Source organism: Homo sapiens, chromosome 2 (assembly GCF_000001405.40).
Source record: "Homo sapiens chromosome 2, GRCh38.p14 Primary Assembly".
NCBI lineage: Eukaryota > Metazoa > Chordata > Mammalia > Primates > Hominidae > Homo > Homo sapiens.
In genome coordinates, this window is record NC_000002.12 from 51,372,885 (window position 1) to 51,397,070 (window position 24,186).

General features: G+C 38.5%; 1 long non-coding RNA gene across 1 annotated transcript in view; it reads left to right on the plus strand.

The window, feature by feature from the left end:
• The window catches only part of NRXN1-DT (NRXN1 divergent transcript), a 1,375,317-nt gene that overhangs the window by 340,284 nt on the left and 1,010,847 nt on the right, over positions 1–24,186 (plus strand). The window contains exon 4 of the long non-coding RNA NR_135237.1: positions 5,211–5,289. This is a non-coding gene — a long non-coding RNA (NRXN1 divergent transcript). The remainder of the gene's footprint in view (positions 1–5,210; positions 5,290–24,186) is intronic.

Consider the following 24,186-nt stretch of genomic DNA (forward strand, 5'->3'; position numbering starts at 1 on the left):
ACACACACACACACACATCCCACAGACACACATTATATCCTGAAAACAATTTAAAAACTCTAAAGTTTAAAAAGAAAGTTATTAACTTCCCTAACATAAATAATCAAACAACAAAAAACTGATAAGTTTTAGAAACAGGATTTGGGGACTTATCTTTATTATTCCAAGACAGCATCAAGTAATTCCTCTCAAAAGTAGAATTAATTAAAATAAAAATTTCCCATGCTAAGATAGGTCCTGCCTCACAGACTGTACTTATAATCTAGTTGAAATTTTTGTGTATTGTTTACATCATATTCATATTTGGAAGGAGTGTTCTGTGAATTGATTTTAGATACTTTTAGACCTGTATTGAAATCTGAATTATTGCCTTGTGTGTGCTATGTCTGTGATAATAAATTAAGTAAGCCTTTGATGGAACTGGTGTGTAATAATTATTTTCTGAGGGCCTCCTAAAAGTAGGATGTTTGCCAATGTCACCGAAGGATAAAATTTTCTGGTGCATGACCTGATCTAAGGAAAGAAATAATAACTCTGTAAATAAATGAAATACTTTTTAATTGTGCTAAGAAGCTTGGCCAGTATGCAACTTCATTGACATTTTGGGAATGCTATTTTTAAAACTATCAGTAAGAGTTGTCAGTGTGTCTCCAGTTGTTGTGTTAATAGCAGATAATCATTGTGAGCAACAATAAAACCTAGTCATATCTGGAAAACAGAGAACTGGAAAAGCTAAGAAGTGGTGACCATGACAACAAGCGGAAAAATTATATTCTGGAAAGTTGAAAACATTCGCTGTTGGTATTATTAAAATAATATTTGTTAAGCAGGGCACCTTGAAAACATAAAGTATTCTCTTCTCAGACTGTGAATCTGTGCCATTCACTGAAGTAGCACAGGTGCTGAATTTAAGAGACGAGGCCAGGCACAGTGGCTCACGCTTATAATCCCAGCACTTTGGGAGGCTGAGGCTGGTGGATCACAAGGTCAGAAGTTGAAGACCATCCTGACCAACATGGTGAAACCCCGTCTCTACTACAAATACGAAAATTAGCCAGGCATGGTGGCGTGTGCCGGTAATCCCAGCTACTCAGGAGGATGAGGCAGGTGAATCACCTGAACCTGGGAGGCGGAGGTTGCACTGAGCCGAGATCACGCCACGGCACTCCAGCCTGGGTGACAGAGCAAGACTCTGTCTCAAAAACAAAAACAAAAACAAAAACAAAAACAAACAAAAAAAAAAAAAAAAGAGAGAGAGAGGAACGTCCAGGCTTCCTACTCTATTACAATCCCATGTAAAAAGGTTGGATAATTAAAGTACACGACAGCATCTCTAGAACTGAGTACTTTGGTTTTTACCTATATGGACTAGGCTTATTTGTAGTGTAAGTGAGGAATAAACGTTTATATTTTGATAGAATAAAATACATTTTAGACAAGTAAAGAAGCATTTTGCTGGGCATGGTGGCTCATGCCTATAATCCTAGCAATTTGGAAGGCTGAGGCAGGAGGTTCGCTTGAGCACAGAAGTTTGAGAGCAGCCTGGGCAACATAGGGACCCCCATCTCTACCAAAAAAGCAGCCTGGGCAACATAGAGAAACCCCATCTCTACCAAAAAAAAAAAAAAAAAAAAAAAAAAAAAAAGCCAGGCATGGTGGCACCTCCCTGTGCTCTCTGCTACTCAGAAGATGGGAGGACAGCTTGAGCCCAGGAGTTCGGGCTGCAGTAACCTATGATCACATCACTGCACATTGCACTCCAAACTGGGTGACCAAAAAAAAAAAAAAAAAAAAAAATTGATGAATTGCTAGGAAAAAAAGGGGGAAAACTCATGCTATATTTTTCCAATTTAAAAAGTACTGAGCCAATTTATCCAAACCAGGGCAATAAAAATAAGTTCAGACTGCTGAGTTTTCTCTAAAATCAAGAAGATATTGAATGTTCTGCATATCTTAAGTAAATTAAGTCATCTAGGAATCTATTATATTTATGAGATATAAAAATCTATTTTTATGCTCTCCTGTTTCAGATTTAATATATGCTATATTATAGAACCTGTATTATAAAGCATAACATTTTATGAACTGAACAGATGGTTCTGTTAATATAACACAGTCGAGTTATTTAAACTTGCATCATTGTTTATACAGAAGTGATCTTAAATGTACCTCAATAAGGATATGAATAGCCTATTTTAATTACATTTAATGAAATGTCAAAAAGCTACGCATTATCCAGAGACATGTGAAATAAAATGTCAGAAAGCTACACATTACTCAGATATGTAAAATAAAATTTCAAATATTAAAATAAAATTTTAATAAATTTAAATTATTGATATAAGAAATATTTGATACTTATTATATAAATTAAGATTTTTAAAATTAATAACAAACATGGTATCAGTTAATATCCAAAACTTAAATATGTGTATTTTAAGGATAAATGTTATTTATTACTTTAGGAATATCTTAAGGATAAATACACAGTTATATGTATTTTAAGGATAAATTGCCACATTTTAATTTCCAAAGTTTCCAGGTATTACAAGAAAATTATGAGCAGGCAGTGTATTCTGAAGGAAAGGACAAGGGGAATTCAATTCCTGTAATGTTAGGATTGACCGAAAGAGCTTAAGATGAATAGCGAAGAGAAGATAATTCACAGATGGACTTGATAGCTGTGTGAAAACATTTATGGAATCATCATATGGAAGAAATAGTAAAATTTAACTCCAAAAATTCAAACACTTAGGTGTAGAAATCAGATATGAACTAATTTAGTTGATATATAAAGATGTTCTTGCTGGCTGTTAGGAAATGAGCAATATAAGAGTGGCTGCATTGCAAAGTTTAGATTCCCTGTCATGGAGGCACTCCTCCACAGTTCAATGACGCTAGCTAAAAGAAGAGAAACATGGTATACCGACTGTGAGTGGATTGGACTCCCTTTTTGGTCTTTTCTAATTATGAGATTATGACAAAATGGAAGTGATATTGTTTGGCTGTGTCCCCACCCAGATCTTAACTTGAATTGTAGTTCCCTGAATCCCCACATGTGATGGGAGAGACCAGATGGAGATAATTAAATCATGCGGGTGGTTTCCCCCATCCTGTTCTCATAAGAGTGAGTTACTTCTCACAAGATCTGATGGTTTTATAAGGGGCTTCCCCCTTCACTTGGTACTCATTTTCTTCTTGCTGCCACATGTGAAGAAGGAGGTGTTTGCTTCCTCTTCTGCCATAATTGTAAGTTTCCTGAGGCCTCCCAGCCATACTGAACAGTAAGTCAATTAAAGCTTTTTCCTTTATAAATAACGCAGTCCCAGGTATGTCTTTACTAGCAGTGTGAGAACAGACTAATATCGTAAATCAGTACCACAGAGAGTGGGGTGCTGCTGTAAAGACACCCAAAAATGTGGAAGTGACTTTAGATCTGGGTAAAGGCAGAGGTTGGAACTATTTGGAGGACTAAGAAGAAGACAGAAAAATGTGGGAGAGTTTAGAACTTCCTAGAGACTTGTAGGGCTCAAAGGACAGGACAACGTGGGAATGTCTGGAACTTCCTAGAGACTTGTTGAAGAGCTTTGACCAAAATGCTGATAGTGATATTGACAATGAAATCCAGGCTGAGGTGGTTTCAGATGGAGATGAGAAACTTCCTGGGAACTGGAGTAAAGTTCACTCAGCATTTTGACCAAGCCCCAGAGATCTATGAAACTTTGAACTTGAGAGATGATTTACAGTATTTGGAGGAAGAAATTTGTAAACAGCAAAGTGTTCAAGAGGTGACTTGGGTGGTGTTAAAAGCATTGGTTTTGTGTATTCATAAAGATATGGTTTGTGAATGAAACTTTTGCTTAAAAGGAAAGCAGAGCATAAAGTTTGAAAAATTTGCAGCTTAATGATATATGTGATAGAAAAGAAAAACCCATTTCCTGAGGAGAAATTCAGGCTGGCTGCAGAAATTTGCATTAGTAACTTGGAGTCAAATATTAATCACTAAGACAATGGGAAAAATGTCTCCAGGGCATGTCAGAGGCCTTTACGGCAGCCCGTCCCTATCACAGGCCCAGAGGCCTAGGTGGAAAAAATAGTTTTGTGGGCCGGAGCCAGGGCCTTGCTGCTTTGTCCAGTCTTTGGGCTTGGTGTGTCTCAGCCATGTCTAAAACAGACAAAGGTGTAGCTCTGGCAATCACTTCAGAGCATGCAAGCCTCAAGTCTTGGCAGCTTCCATGTGGCCTTGCGCCTGTAGGTACAAAGAAGTCAAGAATTGTGTTTTGGGAATCTCTGCCTATATTTCACAGAATGTATGGAAATACCTGGATGTCCGGGCAGAAGTCTCCTGCAGGAGCAGAGCCCTCATGGAGAACCTCCGCTAAGGCAGTGTGGAAGGAAAATGTGGGTCTGAGCTCCCATATAGAGTCCCCACTGGGGCACTGCCTAGTGGAGCTGTGAGTAGCGGGTCACAGTCCTCCAGATCCCAGAATGGTAGGTTTGCTTAAAGCTTGCACCATGTGCCTGGAAAAGCTGCAGACACTCAACGCCAGCTTGTGAAAGTGGCCAAGAGTGGAGCTGTATCCTGCAAAGCCACAGGGCAGAGCTGTGCAAGGCCATAGCAGCCCACCTCTTGCATCAGTGTGACCTGGATGTGAGACATGGATTCAAAGGAGGTCATTTTGGAACTTTAAGGTTTAATGACTGCCCTAATGGATTTTGAACTTGTGTGGGGCCTGTACCACCGTTGTTTTGGCCAATTTCTCCTATTTGCAATGGGCATATTTACCCAATGCTTGTACCCCCATTGTACGGTAACTAATTTTCTTTGATTTTACAGGCTCATAGGCAAAGGGAATTGACTTGTCTCAGATGAGACTTTGGACTTGGACTTTTGAATTAATGCTGGAATGAGTTAAGACTTTGTTGGACTGTTGGAAGGGTATGATTGTGTTTTGAATTGTGATGGTATGAGATTTGAGAGGGGCCAGAAGCAGAATGATATGGTTTGGCTGTGTCCCCATCCAAATCTCATCTTGACTTACAGTTCCCATGATCCCCATGTGTCATGGGAGGGACCAGTGGAGATAGTTGCATCACAGGGGCAGTTTCCCCCATCTGTCCTCGTGACAGTGAGTTAGTTCTCATGAGATCTGATGGTTTTATAAGGGGCTTCTCCTTTCATTGAACACTCATTCTTCTTCTCGTTACAGCCATGTGAAGAAGTACATGTTTGCTTCCCCTTCTGTCATGATTGTAAGTTTCCTGAGGCCTCCAGAGCCATGCTGAACTGTAAGTCAATTAAACCTCTTTTTTTAAATAAATTACCCAGTCCCATGTATGTTTTTATTAGCAGTGTGAGAATGGACTAATACAGGAAGGGAGAGTACAAGTAAAACTCCATAGTATTTAGAGTTTAATGCCACCAAAATTAGTCTACCTATGCCATTATAAGTAGACTGATGCCTTTGTTTAGTTTCAAGAACATTTTTAAGATGATCAGTAATGGATTCAGCATTCTATGTGTATGGTAGAAACAGAAAAAGTAGATGGTTTCACCCTATTTGTAGACTACTGCAAAAACTTTTTAATTTAGTCTTATTTTCTCCTCTAAAAACTTGGCATTAGCTTCTCCAATAGATTGACTATGGTTTCAACTGCCAAAACAAACAATAAACCTCTACCCAAATTAAGACCATATTATACATTCCATTTCATATTCTTAATAAGTTATTTGTAAGCAGCTAAGTGCTAAATCAGTGTTTGCTCAAGAGTAAAGTATAAGAAGAAGAAAATAGGGAGAATAAAAATTAATATTTGCCTTAGATTTACTCCAAATATCACCTGATGAATAAGCCAATAAATATTCTAGAACCAATTCTAGTTTTTTTCTGTTTTCCTTTTTTACTATTTATCACCTTTCTTTATGTTCTTTCCATTCTTCCTTCATGATCCTTGGCTTTTTTGCTCATCTCCATTCCATTATGTTGCTGTTCATTAGCAATTCAGAGTCACAGCAATGGTTTATCAGTTGAAATTGAGCCCACTTATGGGAGACTTAGGTGGGAAAACTTTCTTCCACTGCCATTTGAGAAAGGAGGACCATAGAAAGGAGGGTAGACACCAATGATGATGCTAAAGTAAAAGCTTCTCTTCTGGAGCTTAAAAATTTATATATAACTCTCCTAGCAGAATTTCTAGAAACATTTGGATCCTCACTTTTTTGTTACCAGAACACCATGAACCTCATTTATCAAGTGCAAAATATCTGAGAAAAAATTAGAGGATGAATTGCAATTACAGCAGGAGATTTACTTGGATATTAATTATCATTATTTTTATTTTGCTTTTGTAGAATAATCAAAATGTTGTTTGGTATATCATAATTATTCTCATCCCTTTACCCCCTAATTACCCCTTTTCCTTTGGTGTTATATTATTTTGGAAGCTTTTGTAGAAAAAAATTAAAAGTTGCTTATAGGTGGGCTCTCTTCCTTTATCTTGTGAAAGATGCAAAAAAAAAAAAAAATAAGAGATTGCGTTAGATATTCCAAATGAGAGGGGACATAAAGGGGGCAGAATTGAATTGGAGTAGAAGTTAAATTAAATGTATTTTTTGAATGGGTAGTGAAAGCTAGTGTGTATATCCGGAATAGTATATGCCCATGTTCCAGGTAAGTGGCAATTAATCAAAGGTCTACTATTTCTATGTGCACCCAGGTAGGCTGGATCCCAGAAAGCAGGGTATTTAGATTACCAAAAACCTACCACATTCCTACTTGGAAGGAAAGCAGGAAAGCAACTGCCCATGCCAGGGGACAACATGGATTCAGATAAGGAAAACAATAGCAACAGCCAGGTGGTTGAAATTTACCTGGTTTCTGCCTCTATGTGAGATATAAACTTCTAGAGATTTATGTCATATTCCTAAAAAGAACTCACTTGTGCAATAAAGTACTGTGATTGAATATCATGCCATTTCCATAGGATAAGAAAAATACAATTGAAAGCAGATTTTGTTTTATTGACCTTTAGGTTATAAATCAGAAGTACTGTTTAAAGTGTTTTTCTATATTTCTATTTTAAAATGGAGCTGTGAATACAGATCTTTTTGCTGTTCATTAGCCTTCATCTAGTTTTCCCAGGTATTCTAAAATCAGACAGTTGACTCATAGCTCACACACCAAATCAAGCAAAATTTGGAAGAACACTTAGATTAAACTCTGGGTCTCTTTTCTATTCCTTTTGTAAAAACTGACTGTTTATGTAAATTTAGATGTAAAAATGTCAAGGGACTCTGAAGTCATTTTTGCATTCAAAGATGAGACCTGTCAAAGCATTATGACACATTTGAGTGTCAGGATATGAATGGATAAGGTAATGGTATCATTAAAGCTTTGCTAATATTAAAGTGGGTTGAATATTTCTTGAATCACCTTAGTTCATCCTCTCATCATGGATTTGTAATATGTGGGAGCTAATGTATAGTTTAAATATAATTCTCATTTGCAGAAGAAAATTACTCATAATCTTTTACTATCATATTTAATCTGCATTTTAAACTTTAGATAAAACACTGAATTAAGAAAAAAGAAAATTATATTTAAATGAGAAAAAAATAGAAAAATTAATGAAAAATTTTTGTGTTATAAATTACATATTGACAGATTCCATAGTAGTTAATATAGATTTTTAAAAAGTAACTCCTCAAAGGCATGTAATTAATCTTATAGTTAGGTATGTTATGATGATTGAGCAGGTCTTTGTATGAAGCCAATAGCAGACATCTTGTCAGTCACTTATTTTATTTATTTTTCTCATGAAAATAGGTGAGTACTAAAGGAATATTTGAAAACAAATTGCAACAGTAAAAAGTGAAAGTTCCTCAGCCAATTTTGATTAATTCCATTAACCTCCCAGATACAACTACTGTCCAATAAATGCATATTTATTTACTTACACATACATAGGTTTATCTATATCTATCTCCTGTCTGTCCACACATGTGTATACACACACACACTTATAAATATTTTGAGATTAATGGAATTATACTGTACATATGCTTTGTAACTTTTTTCAATTAACTACATGAAATAAGGAGGTCTATTCATATTATTATCTTAGATCTACCTTATAAATGGCAGCATATTTCATAGAATAAACATAGCAGAACATTTAACTGCTTCTAAGTTTTCTGTCTTACAAAATGATACAATAAATATTTGTGTATTTATTCTTCTTCAGATGTAGCAGTATTTTTCTCAGATAGGTATATAGAAAAAAGAGTTTCTTTTTTTTGGAACTTTTCTTTGTTTGTTTTGTTTTATTATTATTATACTTTAAGTTTTAGGGTACATGTGCACAATGTGCAGGTTAGTTACATATGTATACAAGTGCCATGTTGGTGTACTGCACCCATTAACTCGTCATTTAGCATTAGGTATATCTCCTAATGCTATCCCTCCCCACTACCCCCACCCCACAACAGTCCCCAGAGTGTGATGTTCCCCTTCCTGTGTCCATGTGTTCTCGTTGTTCAATTCCCACCTATGAGTGAGAACATGCGGTGTTTGGCTTTTTGCCCTTGTGATAGTTTGCTGAGAATGATTTCCAGTTTCATCCATGTCCCTACAAAGGACATGAACTCATCATTTTTTATGGCTGCATAGTATTCCATGGTGTATATGTGCCACATTTTTTTAATCCAGTCTGTCGTTGTTGGACATTTGGGTTGGTTCCAAGTCTTTGCTATTGTGAATAGTGTCGCAATAAACATACGTGTGCATGTGTCTTTATAGCAGCATGATTTATAGTCCTTTGGGTATATACCCAGTAATGGGATGGCTGGGTCAAATGGTATTTCTAGTTCTAGATCCCTGAGGAATCGCCACACTGACTTCCACAATGGTTGAACTAGTTTACAGTCCCACCAACAGTGTAAAAGTGTTCCTATTTCTCCACATCCTCTCCAGCACCTGTTGCTTCCTGACTTTTTAATGATTGCCATTCTAACTGGTGTGAGATGGTATCTCATTGTGGTTTTGATTTGCATTTCTCTGATGGCCAGTGATGATGAGCATTTTTTCATGTGTCTTTTGGCTGCATAAATGTCTTCTTTTGAGAAGTGTCTGTTCATATCCTTCACCCACTTTTTGATGGGGTTGTTTTATTCTTGTAAATTTGTTTGAGTTCATTGTAGATTCTGGATATTAGCCCTTTGTCAGGTGAGTAGGTTGCGAAAATTTTCTCCCATTTTGTAGGTTGCCCGTTCACTCTGATGGTAGTTTCTTTTGCTGTGCAGAAGCTCTTTAGTTTAATTAGATCCCATTTGTCAATTTTGACTTTTGTTGCCATTGCTTTTGGTGTTTTAGACATGAAGTCCTTGCCCATGCCTATGTCCTGAATGGTATTGCCTAGGTTTTCTTCTAGGGTTTTTATGGTTTTAGGTCTAACATTTAAGTCTTTAATGCATCTTGAATTAATTTTTGTATAAGGTGTAAGGAAGGGATCCAGTTTCAGCTTTCTACATATGGCTAGCCAGTTTTCCCAGCACCATTTATTAAATAGGGAATCCTTTCCCCATTGCTTGTTTTTCTCAGGTTTGTCAAAGATCAGATAGTTGTAGATATGCGGCGTTATTTCTGAGGGCTCTGTTCTGTTCCATTGGTCTATATCTCTGTTTTGGTACCAGTACCATGCTGTTTTGGTTACTTTAGCCTTGTAGTATAGTTTGAAGTCAGGTAGCGTGATGCCTCCGGCTTTGTTCCTTTGGCTTAGGATTGACTTGGCAATGCGGGCTCTTTTTTGGTTCCGTATGAACTTTAAAGTAGTTTTTTCCAATTCTGTGAAGAAAGTCATTGGTAGCTTGATGGGGATGGCATTGAATCTATAAATTACCTTGTGCAGTATGGCCATTTTCACGATATTGATTCTTCCTGCCCATGAGCATGGAACATTCTTCCATTTGTTTGTATCCTCTTTCATTTCATTGAACAGTGGTTTGTAGTTCTCCTTGAAGAGGTCCTTCACGTCCCTTGTAAGTTGGATTCCTAGGTATTTTATTCTCTTTGAAGCAATTGTGAATGGGAGTTCACTCATGATTTGGCTCTCTGCTTGTCTGTTTTTGGTGTATAAGAATGCTTGTGATTTTTGTACATTGATTTTGTATCCTGAGACTTTACTGAAGTTGCTTATCAGCTTAAGGAGATATTGGGCTGAGACAATGGGGTTTTCTAGATATACAATCATGTCATCTGCAAACAGGGACAATTTGACTTCCTCTTTTCCTAATTGAATACCCTTTATTTCCTTCTCTTGCCTAATTGCCCTGGCCAGAACTTCCAACACTATGTTGAAGAGGAGTGGTGAGAGAGGGCATCCCTGTCTTGTGCCAGTTTTCAAAGGGAATGCTTCCAGTTTTTGCCCATTCAGTATGATACTGGCTGTGGGTTTGTCATAGATAGCTTTTATTATTTTGAGATACGTCCCATCAATACCTAATTTATTGAGAGTTTTTAGCATGAAGCGTTGTTGAATTTTGTCAAAGGCCTTTTCTGCATCTATTGAGATAATCATGTGGTTTTTGTCTTTGGTTCTGTTTATATGCTGGATTGCATTTATTGATTTGCATATGTTGAATGAGCCTTGCATCCCAGGGATGAAGCCCACTTGATCATGGTGGATAAGCTTTTTGATGTGCTGCTGGATTCGGTTTGCCAGTATTTTATTGAGGATTTTTGCATCAATGTTCATCAAGGATATTGGTCTAAAATTCTCTTTTTTTGGTTGTGTCTCTTCCAGGCTTTGGTATCAGGCTGATGCTGGCCTCATAAAATGAGTTAGGGAGGATTCCCTCTTTTTCTATTGATTGGAATAGTTTCAGAAGGAATGGTACCAGCTCCTCCTTGTACCTCTGGTAGAATTTGGCTGTGAATCCATCTGGTCCTGGACTCTTTTTGGTTGGTAAGCTATTGATTATTGCCACAATTTCAGAGCCTGTTATTGGTCTATTCAGAGATTCAACTTCTTCCTGGTTTAGTCTTGGGAGGGTGTATGTGTCCAGGAATTTACTCATTTCTTCTAGATTTTCTAGTTTATTTGCGTAGAGGTGTTTATGGTATTTTCTGATGGTAGTTTGTATTTCTGTGGGATCGGTGGTGATATCCCCTTTATCATTTTTTATTGCGTCTGTTTGTTTCTTCTCTTTTCTTCTTTATTAGTCTTGGTAGCGGTCTATCAAGGCTGTTGATCTTTTCAAAAAACCAGCTCCTGGATTCACTAATTTTTTGAAGGGTTTTTTGTGTCTCTATTTCCTTCAGTTCTGCTCTGATTTTGGTAGAAACAAGAGTTTCTGAGTAAGAGTATCATTTTTAATTTGAAGAATTTAATCTCAAAAGCAGCTGGACTTCTACAGCTTCCTCGATAGGACGTGACTATCTATTTTGTCAAAATCTCCTCAACACTGGATATTAATAATCTAATTTTGATCAATCTCTTTCAATGCATATTGTATCTCATTTTAATTTGCATGTTCTGGATTATTAGAAGGCTTGACAATCATATCTCAGCTGCATTTTTCTGAAACGTATAGACATTTTCCTTGGCATTTTCTTGATGGGTTCTTGTGCTATTTTATATTCTTTTTAGAAACTTAAATATACTCAAAATTTTAACCTTTCATATTATATAGTTCACAAATATATTTTCCAGTTTGTCGCTTAACTTCGTATCTGGTGCTTTTAAAATAATTTCATTTTTTTGTTTTTTACTTTGAGATAGAATCTTGCTATGTTGCCCTGGTTGGAGTGTAGTAGTGCATTCACAACAATCACTGCAGCTCAACTTCTTGGGCTCAAGCAGTCCTCACACCTTAGGCTCCTGAGTAGTTGGGACTACAGGTGTGCACCACCATGCCCAGCTAGTTTTAAAAAACAGTTTTTTTTTTTTGTAGAGACAGGGTCTCCCTATGTGGCCCAGGCTGGTCTTAAACTCCTGGGCTCAAGCGATCTTCCCACTTCAACTTCCCAAAGTGCTGGGGTTACAGGCATGACCCACCACACCTGGTTTTAAGACTTAATTTAAAGCTTATCTACAGCCAGACCTGTCTTTCCTTTATTTATAGGTTTGGGTTTTGGATATTCCTCAAAATTATCTTTGCCAAACTAAATTTTTAAAAATACACTACTATTTCCTCCTCTTCTGGAATTCCTTCTCTCTAGTAAATAAGAAATAAATAATTTATTTAATAACTGATAATATATGTATAGATATAATGTCACCATGATATAAACTGTGAGGAAAGAGTTTGAGTCAGTTAAGTGGCAAGGATGAGTAGAGAAAATCGTTATTTTCTATTAGTTGGTTACAAAACCCTATATGCATAAATGACATTTGATCTGAAACATAAATAAAAGAAGAAAGGAGCCATACACATTTTGGTAATGGCGTTTCAGAGAGAGAAAATAAAAAATGCAAAGGCCTAGAGTCCTGAAAATATGCACATAACAAGGAGGGTAGAATGGTTGCAGCAAATGAGAGAGTGAGCAGTATCTGGATTTGGTTATTCAGGCAGCTGATACAGCAGGGCATCATGGGCACATTGGGGACTTATTCTAAGTGTGACGGGAAGCCACTGCAAACTTTGAGAAAATAATGAAATGATCAGACTTGCATTTGAAAATATTATATCAGGTTGTTTTGTGGAAAACAGACTTTGCAGAAGGTGGCTCAAGATAGGGGAGCAAGAAAGGAATAATGTCTTAGGGTTTTCTGGGGAAACAGAGCCAATGAGATAGACACAGGTATGTAGAAATAAATTTGTTCTGAGGGATTGGCTCATGTGACTATGAAGACTGAGAAGCCTAATGATCTTCCATCTGCAAGTGGAAGAACCAGAAAAGTTGGTGGTGTAGCCCCAGTCCAAACCTGAAAGCCTTAGAACAAGAAGCACCGATGTCCCAGGGCAAGAGAAAACAAATGTCCAAACTTAAGCAGAGAGAACACATTTGACTTTCCTCCACCTTTCTATTCTATTTGAGCCCTCGAAGAATTGGATGATGTGGCCACTCACATTGGTAAGGGTGATTTTCTTTACTCAGTCTACCAATCCAAACACTACTTTTTCTTTTTTCTGAAAATACTCTCACAGAAAGCCCCAGAAATAATGTTTTACCAGCTGTCTGACTTCCTTTCACCCACTTAAGTTGACATAAAATTAATCATCATAAGCTTATCCCTTGTCACCTTGCCACCCATATAAATCTCTTTGTACCATACTTAATCTCCAAATAAAGACAATAACAAGGCCATAATTCTGCCTAACATAATACAACTATTTTGTTTACAACTGAAAATGCACTGATTCCTTCACCACAAGAGGAGATAAAGTCCTTAAATGATGTTTACTTTTCTCTTGATATTCCATAACTTAAATACCATAATGTTAAATTAATAATATATAAACACTATGATACAAAGTCAGTATATCTTATGTTACATGATAAGGGAATAAGGGAGAAAGAGAAAAGATACTTGCTTAATATATGCATATAGACACAAATGTATTCACAACAAAATAAGGAGGAAACACTCATGACAATTATTTCTGTAACTGATCACGTGGTCATAGCTGGTATTTATAACTACCTTCTTTTTCTACCTATTCTCTATTCCCTTCTTCAGCAAGGAGCTCAGCAGATCATGGTTCTATACCTGGCAAGATAACCCAAACTTTCATTCATGAAGGGTCTGAGCCATTAATAGTCATGCCTACATTGGGCTGTTGAAATTTTCCATTGACCTCAATCACAGGGAATAGTAATACTCAGAGATAGCCTAAGGTATCTCTTGGATTTCAGACATACTTTCTCTTACCTTCCTTTTTGGAGTAATAGTCCAACTTACTTTTGTTAGGATCAGTCACCATAGTCAACACCACAACTCCGTTCTTTGGCTGTTGATTTAGGGGAATGGTGAGGAAGGGTGACACAATAGCCAGGTGGCAGTCTTAACTTCTAGTTCAAGGGAATCGTTGTGTCTGCTGGTGGAAATGTAGTTCTTTTGGAACTAAGCCCTCCAGGCCAGCAACCATTATAGTAAAAGGAAGCAAAATTTTTACTAGTGTGTCAATAGAGGTAATAGTGAGTGGTGCCACTCCCATTTCCATCCCTTGATCCTTAGATCTTTGATTCCTGGCTATTAGAGAAATAACATCATATACTGGATGCTGACTTGGAGCATATATACAGCCTTCTGGAGAACCTTGCCTCAGACCTGCAATGTATTGCCACCTAGCTGGCTATGTAACTGAGTCTTCAAATGGCCATTCCCCTGTTCGATCAAGCCAGCTGCTTTAGCATGGTCAGGAACATGGTACAACCAGTGAATTCCATGAGCATGCCACACTCCCTTTTCTGTGAAGTGAATTCCTTGATCAGAAGCAATGTCATGTGGCATAAGGCATTCCACAAGTCTACTGATGGTAGTTTAGCAGAAGCATTCCATACAAATAGCAAAACAGTTATTAGGCTACTGAAGTTGTCCAGGCAAGAGATGTTAGTGGTCTAGCATTAGATGAGTGGCCATCAGGCTCAAAATATATCTTAGAAGCAGAGACAATAAGATTTGCTGCTGGATTTGATGCAATATATGAAAGAATGAGAGTAGTTTAGAATAACCACAAGAATTCTGGCCTGAGAAACAGAGTGGGTGGAATGCTACTTACTGAGGTAGGGAAACATGGAAATGAGTTAGATTTTAAATTGTGATCTAATACCACAAACATTTAATTCCTAATAGTTTTATGGTATTTATTTATATTGAGTAGAGATACACTCACACAATTATTTTGTTCTGAACATCTTTTGCTTTTATTATTTAATATATTCTACTCAGTAAAATATAGAATAATCTTGTCAAGTTTTACTTAAGGGGAATAAAAACACGTTATTGAGGGCTTAATATTTAACAATTAGCTTATACATTAATTTTAGGAGAATTGACATTTACCCAGTATTCTCAGAAATAATTATGTTGTATAATTTCATTTACGGTATTTCACTGAATCTAAACCACCAGTCACCACCGATTGTAAAATATATCAGATTTTAATACAAATTATTAAAATGTGGAAAATTTTAATAAGAATTATCAAAATGTGGAAAAAAGAATTTTAGAACAGATGAAAAATGACAAATAAGATTGTTTACAATCACCATTAAAACTTTGTAATTTACTTCAAGCAGACATTTCCTTTTTAATGATGGGTTTATTCTTTTTTAAAATTCAAATTAAAAAAATTTTTGAGTACATAGTAGGTATATATATTTATGAATTACATAGGATATTTTGATATAGGCATGCAATGAGCAATAACCACATCATGGAAAATGGGGTATCTATCCCCTCAAGCATTTATACTTTGTGTCACAAACAGTTGAATTATACTTTTTTAGTTTTTTTATGTATAATTAAATTATTGACTATTGTCACCCTGTTGCGCTATCAAATACTAAGCCACATTCAGTGTTTCTATTTTTTTTGTACCATCTCCTCCTCCCCCATCATTACCTCACTACCTTAACCATCCTCTGGTAACCATCTTTCTATTTCCTGTCTCCATGAGTTCAATTGTTTTGATTTTTAGATCTCACAAATAAGTGAGAACATGTAATGCTTGTTTATCTGTGCCTGGCTTATTTCTCTTAACATAATGACCTCCAGTTCCATCCATATTGTTGCAAATGACAGGATCTCATACTTTTTATGGCTGAATAATACTCATTTTGAATAAGTACCACGTTTTATTTATTCGTCTGTTGGTGGATGCTTAGGTTGCTTGCAAATTTTGACTATTGTGAACAGAACTGTAACAAACATGGGTGTGCAGATGTCTCTTTAACATACTGATGTCTTTTATTTTGGGTGTATATCCAGCAGAGGTTGCTGGATTGTATGGCAGCTCTATTTCTTAGTTTTTTCAGGAATCTCCAAATTGTCTTCCATAATGGTTGGACTAATTTAAATTTCCACCAACAGTGCATGAAGGTACCCTTTCCTCCACATCCTCTCCAACATTTGGAATTGCCTGATTGCCTGTTGTTGTTGTTGTTGTTTGTTTGTGGGTTTTTTTTTTTTTTTTTTAAGATAAAAGCCATTTTAACTGAGGTGAGATGGTATCTCACTGTAGGTTTTGGTTTTTTTTGTTTGTTTGAGATAGAGTCTCACTCTCTTACCCAGGCTGGAGTGCAATGGCACAATCTCAGCTCACTCTGCCTCCTGGGCCCAAGTGATTCTCATGCCTCAGCCTCCTGAGTAGCTGGGATTACAGGCATGTGCCACTATGCCTGTCTAATTTTTGTATAATTTGAAGTCAGGTAATGTGGTTCCTCCAGGTTTGTTATTTTTGTTCAGGATGGCTTTGTCTATTCTGGATCTGTCGTGATTCCGAATAAATTTTATGATTTTTTTTTTGTTTTTTCTGAATACTTTCTCTGTGTTATCTTGAATTTCTTTGAGTTTCCTCCAAAACAGCTATTTTGAATTCTCTGAAAGGTCACATATCTCTATTTCTCCAGGATTGATTCCTGGTGCCTTATTAGTTCATTTGGTTAAGTCATGTTTTTCTGGATGATCTTGATGCTTGTAAATGTTCGTTGCTGTCTGGGCATTAAAGAGTTACGTATTTATTGTAGTTTTCACAGTCTGGACTTGCTTGTGTCTGTCCTTCTTGGGAAGCCTTTCCAGGGATTCAAAAGGACCTAGGCCTCAAGCCCAATAATGCTGTGGTCTTTGCAGATACCCTTGGTTGTCTTGGATAAGATCTGGAAGAATTCTCTGGGTTACCACGCAGAAACGCTTGTTTTTTACCTCACTTTCTTCCAAACAATGAAGTCTCTCACTCTCTCTCTTTGTCTGTGCAGAGGTGCCTGAACTGCGGGTATGATGATGCAAGCAACTCTGTGGCCACCACCATTGGGATTGCCCTGGGTCAGACCTGAAGCCAGTACAGCACTGGGTCTCACCCAAAGCCCACTGTAACAACTACCTGGCTACCACCTATGTTCACTCAAGGCCCTAAGGCTCTATGATCAGTAGGTGACAAAACCAGTCAGGTTTGTTTCTTTCTTTTCAGGGTGGCAAGTTCCTCTAGGCCCTGGCTGGATCTAAACATGCTGTCTGGGAGCCAGGGATTAAAGAAAAAAACTAATAAATTTAGCTGATATTCTATTCCACTGTGGCTAAGCTGGCACTCAGACTGTAATACAAAGTCCTCCCTGCCCTTCCCTCCCCTTTCCACAGGCAGAGGAACCTCCCTGTGGCCATCATCACCAACAACCCATGGAGGGTTCTGCCAGGCCACCACCAATGTTCACTTAAAGCCCAAGGGTCTTCAGTCAGCTTGTGAATGCTGCTAGGTCTGGGACTCTCCCTATAGGACAGTGGGCTCTCTCTGGCCCAGGGCAGGTCCAGAAATGCTGTCCAAGAGCTTAGGCCTGGACTAAGAATCCCCAAGGGCCTGCTTGTTTCTCTACCCCAATGTGGCTGAGCTGGTACCTTAGTACAACAGAAAGTCTGCTTTACTCTTTCCTCTGCTGTTCTCAAACTGGAGTCTTTCACCATAGTCACAATAGCTGAGACTGTGCTAGATCACACCTGAAGTCAGGATGTCTCAGAGTCCAATGCCCATGGTGTATTACCTGGGTATTGTTGCTGGCTATTTAGGACCAAAGAGTTCTTTAGCCAGAAGATGATGAATGTGGCCTGGACTGGGTCCTTTTCTTCAAGGCAGTGGATTCCCTTTTGGCCCAGGGTGTGTCTAGAAATGTCATCTGAGAGCTAGGGCCTGCAAGGGAGGCCTCATGGTTCTGCCTGGTGCCCTATCCTACTGTGGCTGAGCTGGCATTCAAGCTGTACAACAAAGTCCTCTTCACTCTTCACTCTCCTCTCCTTAAGCAGAAGGGAGGAGTCACTGTTGTTGCTGTGAGCTGCACTACCTGAGGTTGGGCAAGGAATGGCACAAGCACTCCCATAGCTGCCTAGCTGGTATCTCAGTAGTCATGTGCTACCTTGGTCCAGTGGCTCTGAGCCCAGTCCAATACTACTAGGACTTGCCTAGGAATTGCTGTCCCTGTGTCCTAGACTGCCTTTCATGTGTACCTAGGACCCTAGAGAACTTTGGCCTTCTGTGAGGGGGCTTGCCAAGAAACTCATGTTCCAACCACTGGGATGGGTGATTCTAGGGCTAGTCCAAATGTTCCCTCTCTGTGGGTGCAGGCTGAGCCCAGCATGCCTTTGCTCTCTGTTGTCACAGGGAAGCACCGAGTTCAATGTAAAATCCCCCAGTCACTGTACTCTCCCTCCCCAAGTGCCCAGATTCTGTCTCCACACCATGTAGCTGCTGCTGGGAAGGGAGGAGGGGTGGTGTCAGCAATTCAAGATTGTTTCTCCAATTCTCTTCAATGCCTCTTTCGGCAATATAAAGTGAAAACCAAGTACTGTCGGGAGAGGGGCTGGCATGATGGCCAAATAACAGCTGTGGTCTGCAGCTCCCGGTAAGACCAATGCAGAAGAAGTGTAATTTCTGCATTACTGACTGAGATACCTGGTTCATCATATTGGCATTGGTTAGACAGTGGGTGTAGCCCACGGAGGGTGAGCCAAAGCAGGCTGGGGTGTCGCCTCACCCAGGAAGTGCAAGGGGTTGGGGAACTCCTTCCCTTAGCCAGGGGAAGCCATAAGGGACGGTGCTATCCAGACCCAGATACTAAGCTTTTTCCATGGTCTTCACAACCCGCAGATCAGGAGATTCCCTCGGATGCCTCCACAACCAGGGCCCCGGGTTTCAAGCACAAAACTGGGCGACCGTTTGGGTAGACACTGAGCTAGCTGCAGGATTTTTTTCCTTGTACTCCATTGGTGCCTGGAATGCCAATGTGACAGAACCATTCACTCCCCTGGAAAGGGGGCTGAAACCAGGGAACCAAGTGGTCTTGCTCAGCAGCTCGCACCCCTATGGAGCCCAGCAAGCTAAGATCCACTGGCGGCAAAGCACTGTAGCCAGGCTGCCTCTCTAGATTCTCCTCTCTGGGCAGGGCATCTCTGAAAGAAAGGCAGCAGCCTCAGTCAGGGGCTTATAGATAAAACTCCCATCTCCCTGGGACAGAGCACCTGAGGGAAGGGGGCGGTTGTGAGCGCAGCTTCAGCAGACTTAAATGTTACTGCCTGGAGGCTCTGAAGAGAGTAGCCAATCTCCCAGCACAGGGCTCGAGCTCTGCTAAGGGAAAGACTACCTCCTCAAGTGGGTCCCTGACCCCCATGCCTCCTGACTGGGAAACATCTCACAGCAGGGATTGACAGACACCCCATACAGGAGAGCTCTGGCTGGCATCTGGCAGGTACCCCTCTGGGATGAAGCTTCCAGAGGAAGGAGCAGGCAGCAATCTTTGCTCTTCTGTAGCATCTGCTGGTGATACTCTGGCAAACAGGGTCAGGAGTGGACCTCCAGCAAACTCCAGCAGACCTGCAGAAGAAGGGCCTGACTGTTAGAAGGAAAACTAACAAACAGAAAGCAATAGCATCAACATCAACACAAAGGATGCCCATGCAAAAACCCCATGCAAAGGTCATCAACATCCAAGACCAAAGGTAGATAAATCCATGAAGATAGGGAAAAACTAGCACAAAAAGCCTGAAAATTCCAAAAACCAGAATGTGTCTTCTCCTCCAAAGGATCAGAACTCCTGGCCAGCGAAGGAACAAAACTGGATGGAGAATGAGTTAGACGAATTGAAAGAAGTAGGCTTCAGAAGGTGGGTACTAACAAACTCTCCCAAGCTAAACAGCATGTTCTAACCCAATGCAAGGAAGCTAAGAACTTTTATTGGAACTGCTAACTAGAATAACCAGTTTAGCAAAGAACATAAATGACCTGATGGAGCTGAAAAACACAGCATGAGAACTTCGTGAAGCCTACACAAGTATCAATAGTCGAATTGATCAAGCAGAAGAAAGGATATCAGAGACTTAATGAAACAAAGCGTGAAGACAAGATTAGAAGAAAAAGAATGAAAAGGAATGAAAAAAGCCTCCAAGAAATATGGGACTATGTGAAAAGACCAAACCCACATTTGATTAGTGTATCTGAAAGTTACAAGGAGAATGGAACCAAGTTGGAAAACACACTTCAGCGTATTATCCAGGAGAACTTCCCCAACCTAGCAAGACAGGCCAACCTTCAAATGCAGGAAATTCAGAGAACACCACAAAGATACTCCTTGAGAAGAGCAACCTTAAGACACATAATCATCAGATTCACCAAGGTTGAAATGAAGGAAAAAATGTTAAGGGCAGCCAGAGAGAAAGCCCAGATTACCCAGAAAGGGAAGCCCATTAGACTAACAGTGAATCTCTTTGCAGAAACCCTACAAGCCAGAAAAGAGTGGGGACCAGTATTCAACATTCTTAAAGAAAAGAATTTTCAACCCAGAATTTCATATCCAGCCAAACTAAGCTTCATAAACGAAGCATAAATAAAGTCCTTTACAGACAAGAAGATGCTGAGGGATTTTGTCACCACCAGGCCTGGCTTACAAGAGCTCCTGAAGAAAGCACTAAATATGGAAAGGAAAAACCAATAGCAGCCACTGCAAAAACATACCAAAATGTAAAGACCATCAACCCTATGAAGAAACTGCACCAACTAATGTGCAAAATAACTAGGTAGCATCATAATGACAGGATCAAATTCAAACATAACAATATTAATTTTAAATGTAAATGGGCTAAATGCTTCAATTAAAAGACACAGACTGGCAAATTGGACCAAGAGTCAAGAGGCTTCGTGTGCTGTATTCAGGAGACCCACCTCACGTACAGAGACACACCTAGGCTCAAAATAAAGGGATGAAGGAATATCTACCAAGTAAATGGAAAGAAAAAAAAAAAGCAGGGGTTGCAATCCTAGTCTCTGAGTAAACAGACTTTAAACCAACAAAGATCAAAAAAGACAAAGAAGGGCATTACATAATGGTAAAGGGATCAATGCAACGAGAACAGCTAACAATCCTAAATATATATATGGACCCAATACAGGAGCACCGAGATTCATAAAGCAAGTTCTTAGAGACCGAAAAAGAGACTTAGACTCCCACACAATAATAGTGGGAGACTTAAACATCCCACTGTCAATATTAGACAGATCAACAAGACAGAAAATAGACAAAGATATTCAGAACTTGAACTCAGCTTTGGACCAAGCATACCTAATAGACAACTACAGAACTCTCCACCCCAAATCAACAGAATATACATTCTTCTTAGCACCATATGCACTTATTCTAAAATTGATCAAATAATTTGAGGTAAAACACTCCTCAGCAAATGCAAAAGAATGGAAGTCATAACAAACAATCTCTTAGACCACAATGCAATCAAATTAGAACTCAGGATTAAGAAATTCACTCAACATCGTACAACTACATGGAAACTGAACAACCTGCTCCTGAAAGAGTACTGGGTATATAATGAAATGAAGTCAAAATAAATAAGTTCTTTGAAACCAATGAGAACAAAGACACAACATACCAGAATCTCTGGGACACAGCTAAAGCAGGGCTTAGTAGGAATTTATAGCACTAAATGCCCACATCAGAAAGCTAGAAAGATCTAAAATCAACACCCTAAAATCACAGTTAAAAGAACTAGAAAACAAAAAGCAAACAGATTCAAAAGCTAGCAGAAGACAAGAAATAACTAATATTAGAGCAGAATTGAAGGAGATAGAGACATGAAAAACCATTAAAAAAATGAATCCAGGAGCTGGTGTTTTGAAAAGATTAACAAAATAGATATACTGCTAGCCAGACTAATAAAGAAGAAAAGAGAGGAGAATCAAATAGACACAATAAAAAATGGTAAAGGGGATATCACCATAGATCCCACAGAAATACAAACTGACATCGGAGAATACTATAAATACCTCTACACAAATAAAATAGAAAATCTAGAAGAAATGGATAAATTCCTGAACACATACACCCTCCCAAGACTAAACCAGAAAGAAGTCTAATCCCTGATTAGACCAATAGCAAGTTCTGAAATTGAGGCAGTAATTAATAGGCTACCAACCAAAAAAAGCCCATTACCAGACAGATTCGCAGCTGAATTCTACCACAGGTACAAAGAGGAGCTGGTACGATTCCTTCTGAAACTATTCCAAACAATAGAAAAAGAGGGAATCCTCCCTAACTCATTTTATGAGACCATCATCATACTGATACCAAAACCTGGCAGAGACACAACAAAAAGAAAAAAGAAAATTTCAGGCCAACATCCATGATGAACATCGATATGAAAATCCTCAATAAAATACTGGCAAACCGAATCCAGCAGCACATCAAAAAGCTTATGCACCACGATCAAGTTGGCTTCATTCTGGGATGCAAGGCTGGTTCAACATATGCAAATCAATAAATATAATTCATTACATAAATGAAACCAATGACAATAACCACATGATTATCTCAATAGATGCAGAAAAGGCCTTTGATAAAATTCAACACCCCTTCATGCTAAAAACACTCAATGAAGTAGGTACTGATGGAACATATCTCAAAATAATGAGAGCTATTTATGACAACCCCACAGCTAATATCATCCTGGATGGGCAAAAGCTAGACGCATTCCCTTTGAAAACCGGCACAAGACAAGGATGTCCTCTCTTACCACTCCTATTCAACATAGCATTGGAAGTTTTGACCAGGGCAATCAGGCAAGAGAAAGAAATAAAGGGTATTCAAATAGGAAAAGGGAAAGTCAAATTGTCTCTGTTTGCAGATGCCATGATTGTATATTTAGAAAACCCCATCATCTCACCCCAAAACTCCTTAACCTAATAAGCAAATTCAGCAAAGTCTCAGGATAAATTACAGGCATTTTTACACACCAATAATAGACAGAGAACCAAATCATGAGTGAACTCCCATTCACAATTGCTACAAAGAGAATCAAATACTTAGGAATACAGCTTGCAAAGTATGTGAAGGACCTCCTCAAGGAGAAATACAAATCACTGCTCAAGGAAATAAGAAAGGACACAAATAGAAAATCATTCCATGCTCATGGATAGGAAGAGTCAATATTGTGAAAATGGCCATACTGCCCAAAGTATTTTATAGGTTCAGTGCTATTCTCATCAAGCTATTGTTGACTTTCTTCACAGAATTAGAAAAAAAAAAACTACTTTAAATTTCGTATGGAACCAAAAAAGGGCCCATATAGCCAAGACAATCCTAAGCAGAAAGAACAAAGCTGGAAGCATCACACTACCTGAATTCAAACTATACTACAAGCCTACCGTAACCAAAACAGCAGGGTGCTGGTACCAAAACAGATATATAGACCAATGGAACAGAACAGAGACCTCAGAATTAACACCACACATCTACAACCATCTGATCTTTGACAAATCTGACAAAAACAAGCAATGGTAAAAGAATTCCCTTTTTAATAAATGCTATTGGGAAAACTGGCTAGCCATATGCAGAAAACTTAAAATGGAGCCCTTCTTACACCTTATACAAAAATTAACTCAAGGTGGATTAAAGACTTAAATTTAAGACCTAAAACTGTAAAAACCCTGAAGAAAACCTAGGCAATACCATTCAGAACATAGGCATGTTAATACACTTCATGACTAAAATAGCAAAAGCAATGGCAACAAAAGCCAAAAGTGACAAATGGGATCTAATTAAACTAAAGAGCTTCTGCAAAGCAAAAGAGACTATAATCAGAGTGAACAGGCAACCTACAGAATGGGAGAAAATTTTTGCAATCTATCCATCTGACAAAGGGCTAATATCCAGAATCTACAAGGAACATAAACAAATTTACAAGAAAAATACAAACAACCCGAACAAAAAGTGGGCAAAGGATATGAATAGACACTTCTCAAAAGAAGACATTTATGTGGCCAAGAAACATATGAAAAAAAGCTCATCATCACTGGTCATTAGAAAAATGCATATCAAAGCCACAATGAGATACCATCTCATGCCAGTTAGAATGGTGATCATTAAAAACTCAGAAAACAACAGATGCTGGAGAGGGTGTGGAGAAGTAGGAACACTTTTACAGTGTTGGTGGGAGTGTAAATTAGTTTAACCATTGTGGAAGACAGTATGGTGATTC